At 36.0% G+C, this 11,488-nt stretch overlaps 1 long non-coding RNA gene across 1 annotated transcript in view; it reads right to left on the bottom strand.

Annotated features, from left to right (window-relative positions):
• The window catches only part of LINC02193 (long intergenic non-protein coding RNA 2193), a 35,498-nt gene that overhangs the window by 23,552 nt on the left and 458 nt on the right, over positions 1-11,488 (bottom strand). The gene's annotated exons all lie outside the window — the stretch shown is intronic.

The following is an 11,488-nucleotide window of genomic DNA, read 5'->3' as shown; positions in this document are numbered from 1 at the left end:
CCAATTTCCATATGAAGAAACTATGCCTCAGGCATTGTGTCAGTTGTCCAAAATCATACATTCCTGACTCACTTCAATGAATTCTTCATTCAGCAAAATTTTTAAGGTACCTTAAAAAAATTATGTTAACTCTTAGGGCCTTGCTTTAAAGCTTCAATGGGCTTTTCCTTTGCAAAGAATAAAATCCTAATACTTAAGCATAGCTCTCTTTCCTGGCTATGTTTCTGACATCCTCTTGTACCATGCTCCTCCTTAATCATTCTGAGGTTACATCTTAAGTCCTTTCCCCTTGCCATTCCCACTTCTTGGAATACTTTCCCATCAACTCTTCAAAGAACTGCCTTCTTTAAGTATTTGGTCTCAGTTCCAATGTCACTTCCCTGTAAAAGCTTCCTGGCCATCAAGCCTTCTTTACACACTCTATTTTATTTTTTCATGGTTCCTATAACAACCTAATATATTCTCAATTGATTAACTGTTTTGTTGACTACTGCCTTCCATAAGAATGGAAAGAAAACGTGGCCAGGTGCAGTGGCTCACACCTGTAATCCCACCACTTCAGGAGGCTGAGGCAACATGGCAAAACCTTCTCTTCAAAAATTTTTTTAAAAGTTAGCTGGATGTTGTGGAGGCAAGAGGATCACTTGAGGATCACTTGAGTCCATGAGGTCAAGGCTGCAGTGAGTCATGTTTGCACCACTGCACTCTAGCCTAGGTGACAGAGCTAGTCACTATCAAAAAAAAAAAAAAAAAAAGAATGGAGAGAATGCTACATGAGAGAAAGGATCTTATCTATCATGTTCACCTCCCAAGAGGTGAACATATCCCCCAAAGCCTGATAGAGAGAAGATGCTCATTAATATTTAATGCATGACCATGTGCAGACTTGGGAGGAAAAATATGCCTCAGCCTATCAATATTGGATCCTTAATAAACAAGGATGTTTCTGCGTCATTTCCCCACAACACCGAACAAGTGTGGCTCACTGTGGATGTTTAAGCAAATGCATTGTTTTTCCAGTTATATATCTGGTAGAGATTAGGCCATTGATAGGAATGGGAAGACGATCTCCTTTTATTTTGATGACCCAGCATGGCTGAACACTCAGTGACTACCACTGCACTTTGTTGTACTTTCAGCATTAGAGATGCCAGCCCTGTAGGATATAAAACAGGAACATCTAGTCCTCAATTAAATTCAGAATTACTCAAGTCTTAGAAGCACCACTTGTCTTTTTTCAAGGGAGAGAAATGCTCAAGTGATGGGCTGAAGTGAAGGGAGGGAGTCACTCACTTGAACGGTTCCCTTAGGCTGTGTGGATGCAAACAGCATTAGACAATGACACTGACAGTGGGAAATGCACTGGAGACGATGATTGGCAAAGCTCTCCTTTTCTCCCCATCCACTATAGATACTGACAGCAAAGGGTTTGTCACAATGACAACTATACACTCCCAATATCACAGAAGAAGGAGGAATAAAAGGGTATATTATGAGTGACTGAAGTTTAGAATAAATTAATAAATATTATGTCCCTCATCCATAGAAACCACAAAGGTCTAGTAAGGCTAAGGATATAACAAGAAAATAATATGAATATTTGCTTCCCCTTCCTAGTGTAATAGAGTAAGTTACAAATGGCTTCAGGAAAGGGAGAGAGGAAGAAGAGTGGATGAGATACGTAAGAGTGCTTGAGGGCTAATTTTATGAAAGCTTTGGGAAGTTTTAAGAAAAAGAAAAGCTATTTTTCAAGGTACATGTGTGTATGCGTGTGTGTGTGTGTGTGTGTGTGTGTGTGTGTGTGTGTGTGTGTGTGAAAGACAGAAGAAAGAGGGAGACCTAAGAAGACTATGAGACACTAAGAGAAAAATTAAGGTAAAAAAGACACACACTTAGAAAAACACACATAGGGAGGAGGGAGGAGGTTAAGACATTTTACTATGTGCTGTGAATGGAAACTACAAACCATTTTTGATATATGCAATATATATACATATATACACACATATACATATGTATTTAAATATTTAAATTACATTTTCTCTTTTTTTAGAGATATGGTTTCACTATGTCACTCTGCCCAGGCTGCAGTACAGTGGTTGTTCACAGTCATGATCATAGCACATTATAGCCTTGAACTCCTGGGCTCAAGCAACCCTCCTGTATTAGTCTCCCCAGTAGTTGGGATTACTAGCATATGCCACCATGTCCACCTTTATGCTTTTTAAAGTGAAAAACCATACTAAGAATGAGGCAGCTCAACTTAATAATAAAAACATTTCAAATGTAAAGAAATTTACAAAAGAAAAACAATCAACCCCATTAAAATTGGGCAAAGGGAATGAACAGACACTTTTCAAAAGAATACATGCATGCAGCCAACAAACATACAAAAAAAAAGTTCAACATCACTGATCATTAGAGAAATGCAAATCAAAACCATAATGAGATACCATCTCACACCAGTCAGAATAGCTATCATTAAAAAGTCAAAAAATAACAGATGCTAGTGAGGCTATGGAGAAAAGGGAATGCTTATACACTGTTGTTGGGTGTGCAAATCAGTTCAATCATTGTGCAAGGAAAGTGATTCCTCAAAGAGCTAAAAGCAGAGCTACCATTCGACCCAGTAATCCCACTACTGGGTATATACCCAGATGAATATAAACCATTCTACCATAAAGACACATGCATACAAATGTTCATTGCAGCACTGTTCACAATAGCAAAAGTATGGGATCAACCTAAATGCCCATCAATGACAGATTGGATAAAGAAAATGTGGTACATATACACCATGGAATACTATGCCGCCATTAAAAAATGATATCATGTCTTTTGCTGGAATATGGATGGACCTTCTATTATCCTTAGCAAACTAATGCAGGAACAGAAAACCAAATACAGCATACTCTCAGTTATAAGTGGGAGCTAAATGATGAGAACTCATGAACACAAAGAATAAAACAGACACTGGGGTCTACTTGAGGGTGGAGGGTGAGAAAAGGAAGAGAAACAGAAAAGATAACTATTGGGTACTAGGTTCAATACCTGGGTGATGAAATGATCTGTACAATAACCCCCTGTGACACCAGTCTACCTATGTAACAAATGCCCCTAAACTTAAAATAAAAGTTAAAAAAAAAGAAAATTAAAATCTCCTTATCATCTACCTGGTAATATGAAAAACACATATCTTTCATTCATTCCTTTCAACTGATGAGGAAACTGAGGCATTGGGAGTTAGTAAAAGTCCACATTGAGATATGAGACCCACCACTGGCTGGACACAGTGGCTCACACCTGTAATCCCAGCACTTTGGGAGGCCGATGCTGGTGGATCACCTAAGGTCAGGAGTTCGGGACCAGGCTGGCCAACATGGTGAAACCCCCATCTCTACTAAAAATACAAAAATTAGCTGGGTGTGGTGGCAGGCACCTGTAATACCAGCTACTAGGGAGGCTGAGGCAGGAGAATCGCTTGAACCCAGGAGGTGGAGTTTACAGTGAGCCAAAATCATGCCATTGCACTCCAGCCTGGGCAACAAGAGCAAGACTCTGTCGGGGGAAAAAAAAAAAAAAAAAAAACCACCACCATCATTTTGCAAGTGTTACCACTATTGTGTGTTAATATTGTAGAAGTATTCCTAATTATGATTTCTTTGTATTCCTAATTGTAATAGCTTTGTATTTGAAAAATTATTGATTCATACTCTATATGTTATTATTTTGTATGCGATGACAACAGAATATGTTATCATGCTCCTTTTGTGAATCTCATTCATAATATAAAGTATAAATTTGTGATTTTGCTTTAATATGAAATATTAATTTCAAATATGTTATCACAATTTGATACAAACTATTGACAGTAAATCTGTGGATTAAGTAATGTCTTAGTAGGTATTGGGAAAATTTGAAACTAGTAACATGGAGGACTATTGTCATTGTTTATTTCAAAGCCAGTTAAAATTCTGCAAAGCAGTGTACATAAAAATAATTTCAAGAAATTTATAAAATACCGAGATTATGGTGTATAAACAACTTTAGATTCTTTGTTTAAGAAATTCTGCCAGTTTGTAATATATGCTTCATTCAAAGTAGCTAAGGGCTGTACCTGGCTAATAGTAGGCACCTAATATTTGTTGAAAAGGAATACTGAGTAGCTGGGACCTCCTGAGTAGCTGGGACCACACACATTTAACCTGTATTTATAAAATTACTGTTTAGAGAATAACATTTGATGGAATCATGCTTTTACTTTCTGCTTACGACTCAATTGTTTGTACTGACATTAACATCCCAAATCCTTAGCATGGCCTACAAGGCCCTGAGCAATGTGGCACCTGCTGAAGCCTGCTGCCTCATTTAATAACTCTTTGTCTCTTGCCCAGATCCAGCCACTCTAACATTTTTTAGCTCCTGGACCAAGACAAGCTCTTCCCAGAACCTGACCTTTGTACCTGTTCTTTATTCCTGGAGTATTTTTCCCCTGACAAATTACTTATCATCTATCATAATTCAGGTTAAATGGCACTAACTCAGGGAAGGCTTCCCTAACTGCCTCCCTTCTCCAACCAAATTAGGAACAATTATATGGCCACATAGTATCGAATCAAGTTTATAATTTTAAAATAATTGGGAGATTTTGTTGTTTAACACTTGTTTTCACTATAAGACTGTAATTACATGCAAGTAAGAACCATGCCTGTTTGTTCACTCCTGCCACAGTCAGAATAGTGCCTGGAATATGCAGTAAGGGCTGAACACACACTAAATAAATGAACAAGTGAATAAATGGATATTGTCTCATTTTTAGAACAGAGTACTAAATGGATCATGAACACTATCTGGTATGTCACGTAGGTAATTTACAAGGGCTACAATTTCAGCTCAGATTTACCTTTTCCTGGATACAGGTCTTGATAGGTCTCTTGATGTCATTTCACTTCAGATTCTTCTTTAGAAAACTTGGACAATAGCATTTGCTGTCTTGTCCAAATTGTTACTAGGAATCAAGAGAGATATCTGACGTGAAATGACATTGGAAAACATTAAACACGATTGAAATAATGCTAGCCAATATGGTTATTATTAGAAACCAATTACATTTTCAACTTAAAAATAGTAATACTTATTGCAGACTCAAATGTGCTTATTCTAAAACAAGTAAATGTTTGCCTATGGTCTGAGATTCTAATCCACGGAGTTCATTCTAATCCACATTCAACACTATCATGTACCAGTGGGCCTCATAACCCACCTAGCCCTGTGATTTTTCAGGTTCACTTTTCTAAACTTGTGAATTAAATATTTATTTTCTTAGTTCAGAAGAGGAAAAAAACTCTTGTAATTCTTGCCCATTTCAGGAGAAATCTTGCATATGAAAACAAGAGATAAATATACACAACTGAGGGCTGTGGTTTAAACAAAATCTTGAGAATGTTTTTTGACCTTATACATTTGTGCTTTAGTATAACAAAATGATATAGACAAAGGTAACTTTTAATAGAACCAGTCACTAAATTAAAAAAATGACAAATTCTTCTGCTTAGCTAAGCAACAGAGAAGGTAAAATACTAATTCAATTCATCAATTTAAGCAATACTCATTAAGAGCCAAGTATGTGCTTACTGAATAAGCTGCTAAGGTTTGGTGGTTACAGAGTGTGCGGTGAAATGATGTCTACATCACAGTCCAACATTCACAGAGTTTAAAAGCCTACCAAGAATCAAGACAGACACAAATACCTAACATAGACGTTTGTATATGATAAGAGAGCCAGAGTACAATTTAGGAGAAGAAATATTATGGAAGGAAGGTTCATTTCCATTAGACCAGAAAAGACAGCACATTTGAAGGCCTGAATAAGAAATATTCTGGATAAGATATTGTGGCTGCTACCAGAATGGCTCTTGATGATCTCTACCTCTTGGTATTTATACCCTTATATAATCTCTTTCCTATAGTGTAAGCTGGTCCCAGGTACTTGTTTCTATTGAATAGAATAGAACAAAAGAAATGAGATGCCACTTCTGAGATTAGATTATAAGATACTGTGAATTTCTTCTTGTGCCCTCTCCCTCTCTCTCTCTCTCTTGCCCTCTCATTTGAATGAAGCCAACTGGCATGCTGTCAGTGGCCCAGTGTAAGTCCTGTTACAAGAAATTGATGATTACCTGTAGCCAACCCTAAGTGAAGAACTGAGGTCCTCAGTCCTACAAATGGAGAGAAACTGAATCTAGCTAAGAACCATGTGAGTGAGCTGGGAAGAAGATCCACCCTCAGTTGAAATTTAAGATGACATATTGAGCAGACATACTGAGACACACTGAAAGTAAGAGAGCAGGAGGAAACAAAACCAGGGTCATACAAAGAACACAACTGATTTTGAGATTCTCACATAAGTATTACACCTTCAGTGAGCACGTGTACTAGAAATTTAAAAAATAAATAAAATAAACCTTCAAAGTGAGCTAGCAAATAAATTTCCCTATGGTCTCAGCTCTGAGTGGAGAGAGAAAATGTTCCCTGTGGAGTTTATAGCCAGAATCCAGCTCTCAAACAGGTTTCAGCCTGAACTCACACAATCTGTGTGGCTTCCAAATTTGCAAGCTGAGAATTTAATTCAAAGTGGTCTCAGGTTGATAGCAGTCCAAAATGCTAGGTAGGAAAAAAAATCCTCTCTGGACAAATAAATCATCAAAGCAAGCTCATAAGAGCAGGTTTCAAAGGTCATGAGCTTCTAACACACACACAAAAATCACACACACAAAATGGGGGTAGCAGCAACATGGGTAGCGTATTCAAACTTGAAAAGACTTTAAATATTTGTATTATTAGATGTAGATTATGAAACACATATTTTAATGTGGTTAATTTTTTTAAGGAATCAAAACTATGAGTAAAGACCAAGAAAATTGTGCTGGATGGCCACTTCCACCATGGCTCCCCTCCTATTTAAGTCTGGGTACTGTGTCACCCGAAGTCTTCAGGCACATTGTTCCAGGTCTGGGTTTGCCTATGAAAGAAACTCATGAGAGCTGGAAATGAGGAGTGAAGAGGAGGTCTTCAAATAAAGCAGGCTTAAGGATTAGACATAGCAGGTTTGACAGATGTGATGGCTTGCAGAATCCTTTATGAGCTCCCACTGTCCATCTGGATAAGATTTACAGACCTTTCAGAAATTCCTATAAGCTTGGGTTCTGTGCCCACACTCTAGACTGTCAGGCTAAGATCTCTGATATAAAATAGACCTCTTCTGATTTTGTCTAGCTGCTTTTCTAATATCTATTCACCAAGCTCTTCCAATAATAGCATAAGGCCCTAATTAATATTAAACTTTTATCATTATAATACATAGGATGTCTTCTGTTTTCCTGATCAAATTCTGACTACTATTAAAATATAAAGAATTGTCCAGAAATATATAAAAAAAGAATCACACATTGATCTTCTTTAAATGAAAATATAACAATTGTATGGACTAGGATGATTACAGTTGTTCAGTTCTGACTGTTATTTGAAGAAAAAAGCAATAAGAAGCCTCAGCAACTTAACAGAAGGAGCTGCCATTTACTAGGAGAAAAGATTGTGGATGAGAGTGTAGCAAAGGTCAGAATTCTGTGAAGCTTGAGATGTTTATTATAATGAATTATCTTTTATACTCACTACAATTTCCTAACAATTTTGGGGTTTATATTTTTGAAAGAGATATACCTTTAATTTTCTTTCTTTGTACTATTGTTAGGTAACTTTGATGTGCAGATTATACTACAGTGAAAGTTGCCAATGACAAGGCAAAGTCACTTACATCAGACCCAAAGCAAAGTGGAGCCGGGTCATGAAAAAGGGGATCTTGTGTGTCTGTCCACGATAAGCACTATCACAAGGACTTTCTATAAACTCACAAGAAATTTCTGCCCACCCAGCACACTCTGTTTGTCCAGCTCATCCTGTAGGTGTCTCTATAATAGGACCTATCATAAAAAATTCCTCAAGACTGCAGCATTTCAGATAAGCCACCCTCACAAGAACACTTGCCTAGCAATGGCTGTTTCTGCCAGTAAGTTAACACCAGCTCCTGCATCAGACCCTGTGACCAATGATGTTTGTTTCAAAACAGCTTGCATGGACTTCTTTTTGTCTTTACATATTTTCCTTACCTCAACCTCTTGGGATGCACCTATGATTGATCATAGCACAAATATCTCAGATTATAATCCTTGTTTATTTCCAAATAAATTTATTTCTTTGGAGATCCACTTTTTCTGTTATTATACATTGACACTGTTATTATGAAATTGGTTGGGTGATGTGTCTTATTTTCTTGTCTCCAGAAGAATTTCTGTAACAGTGCAATTAAACGTTCTTTGCATGTTTGCTAGAACTCACCTGTAAAATTGTCTGAGCAACCAAAGCCTGGTTTTTGTGTTTAGTTTTTCTTTTGTGATTGGGGAGGGGGGTTTATCGTACTGATTCAAGGTGTGAAGGTAACATCATTTTGATTTTATACATCTTCTTCAGTCCATTTAAGCATGTTACATAGCGTTGTTTGTTCTTTTCATGATATTCTTTACAGTAGTCTCCTAAATGTTCCCTCTGCTTCTGCCATGAGCCCCTACAATCAACTCAGAAGCTATAGAGTTTGTTTAAAACATGTAACATATTATGCCACCTTTCTTACTGTAAAACATCCCATGGTTTCTCGTAGTATTTATAGTAAAAGTGAAATTTTTATGATGGCTTGAGAAACTTTTCCCATTAGATGCCCAAGTGCTGGTCTGGTCTGATCTTCTCATCTTCCCTTGGGTGATTCTGTGGCAGTCACACTAGCCTCCTTGCTGCTCCACAAAAACTCCAGCATGATCCTACTTCAGGATATTTGCCATTGTTACTGCATCTGCCTGGAACCTTTTCTCCCATATAAACATAGAGATTGCTCTTGCCTGTCCTTCAAGTCTATTCTTAAATGTCCCATTCTCTGTGAAGCTTTCCTGCCCACCCTATTTAAATTACAGACTTCACTCCCAATTCCCCATCTACTTTAAGAGTCTTCATTTATCATTCCTTGACAAACTGTAAATATACATGTTCACTTTTTTATCGTCTGTCTCCAAATACTGGCATGTTAAGTTCTGTAATGTAAGATATTTCTGTTTGGTTCACTGGTGTATTCTTAAAGCATGTTACATACTAGGTATACTCAATGAATATTTGTTGAATAAATATCACATTGGGCTTATTCCAGAAATTCAAGCTTGTTTCAATAGTTAGAGCAATCTACAAATGTAATTCATTACATTAACTAATTAAAGGAGCTAAATCACATCACCACCACAATAATGCAGAAAACCACATTTGATACAACTCAATATTCATGTCTGCCTAACAAACATCTCATGATACTAGGAAAAGAGGAAGGGATATATTATTTTCATGTATAAAGCACTAACCATTGTAGCATGCGAATATACTCAAAATTCAATGAAATTCCTATCAAAATCTTAGCATTCCTCTTAGTCCTCAACAAAGCATTTCTAAAATGTGCATAGAAGACCAAAGGGTCAAAAGAGTCAACTTCTGAAGAAGCGCAAAAAGACAGTTGAGGAAATCTTAAAACATGTTATTGAGCTTAAAGTTGCAAAAATAAACTCATGTACCATAATTCATGAGTAGAAAAATAGACTAGTGGAATAACATAAAAATAAAAACAATGCTTACATAAAATGTTGTAACTGATTTGGATGTCATTAGAAATCAGTAAGTAAATAGATGGACAATGTAATGAAAGATGCTAGGCAAATAATGTGGTAGGGAGAATAATGGCCCTCAAAGATGCCCATGCCTAACCCTGGAACCTGTGAATATGTTACACTGAATGCAATAAAGGCTTATCAGATGTGATTAAGGATGCAAACCGAGATGGAGAGATCTTCCTGGGTTACCCAGATGGGCCCAGTCTAATCACATGAGTTCTTAAAAATGGAGAACCTTTCTTAGCTGAGTCCAGAGAGAGATGTGACAATGAAAGAATGGTCAGAGAAATGTGACATTGCCAGCTTTAAAAAGAGAGAGGAGAGGCAATGAGAAAAGGAATGCTGATGTTCTCTAGAAGATAGAAAAGGCCAGGATATGGATTCTACCCTAGCCACCATAAAGAAACATGCCTGTCGACAACTTGATTTTAGTTCACTAAAATTCATGCCTGATTTCTGACTTGTGTACACTGTAAGATGACAAGTTTGTGTTATTTTAGGTCACTTAGTTTGTAGAAATTTATTACAGCAGTAATAGAACAAGTGGTTATCCATATGAGGCAAATTAGATTGGATACCTATCTCCAATAGAAATCAATTCAAGGTGAATTCCAGGAAAATACTTAAAACATTTAGATTAAAAATAAATGAGAATTTTTGTTACTTTTGGTAGGTCATAGGACCAAGAAAAACAAACATTAAGGAGGAAAAATGAACATATGACTACATCAAAATATAAAGCTTCTCTATTTGGAAGATATCATAAGGTGACAAATCATAAACTGTAATATTTACAACATATATATAAGTGAATAAATATACATTTAGAATATATATGAACTCCCAAAAATCAACAGGAAAAATAAGACATAGAACAAGCAAAATGCATAAACAAAAGAAGGCAAAACAAAAATAATGACTCATAATTATATGAAAAGAAGCTCATCTTCATAGATGAGCAGATAAATGCAAATTAAAACCACCCTGAGATGCTTTTTACATCCATGAGCCTGATAAAAGTTAGAGTCTAAAAGTAATAATTAACAAAGATGGGAAGTAACAGAAAATCTTGTCCATTACTGGTTAAAGTATAAACTGATACAGCTACTTTATAGAATATTACATTATAGAATAAAGTTGTGAGTATGTATATGCAGTGACTCAGCATATTCATTGCTAGTATGTACTCAAGAGAAACTTACAGGAGTGGACTAGGAAGTAAATACAAAATGATTACAACATTGTTTGTTATATCAAAAAATAAAAAAGACACCCAATTTTCCAGCAAAAAAATAAGTAAAAATAAATCCTGGTGTATTCTAACAATGGAATAATATATAGCCATTAAAATAAATCAACTATTACTGTACATATGAATGTAAGTATCAGCAAAACATATTGTTTAGTGAAAAACTAAGAAGCTGAAGAAGAATATATACAATATGGTTACATTTATATGAAGTCCAAAAACTTGCAAAATAAAGAAATGTATTTAGAAATAGATTCACATGTGAGAAAACTAGAAGAAAATTAATGAAAGGATAAGAGGGATAGCAGTAATTCTGAGTAGTTGAGGGAATTTCAATTGGAAAAAAATAATATCATATTCTTTAAGTCAGGTAGTGGGTATTAGCATTTGTTTTACCATCGTTCTTTATTCTTATAGCTACACTATATATTTTCAATGTATTTAATGTATTTTTTGCATAATTAAATATTATGCAATAAAA

Source organism: Homo sapiens, chromosome 16, assembly GCF_000001405.40.
Source record: "Homo sapiens chromosome 16, GRCh38.p14 Primary Assembly".
Classification (NCBI taxonomy): domain Eukaryota; kingdom Metazoa; phylum Chordata; class Mammalia; order Primates; family Hominidae; genus Homo; species Homo sapiens.
This window is presented reverse-complemented; position numbering and strand designations above follow the sequence as displayed.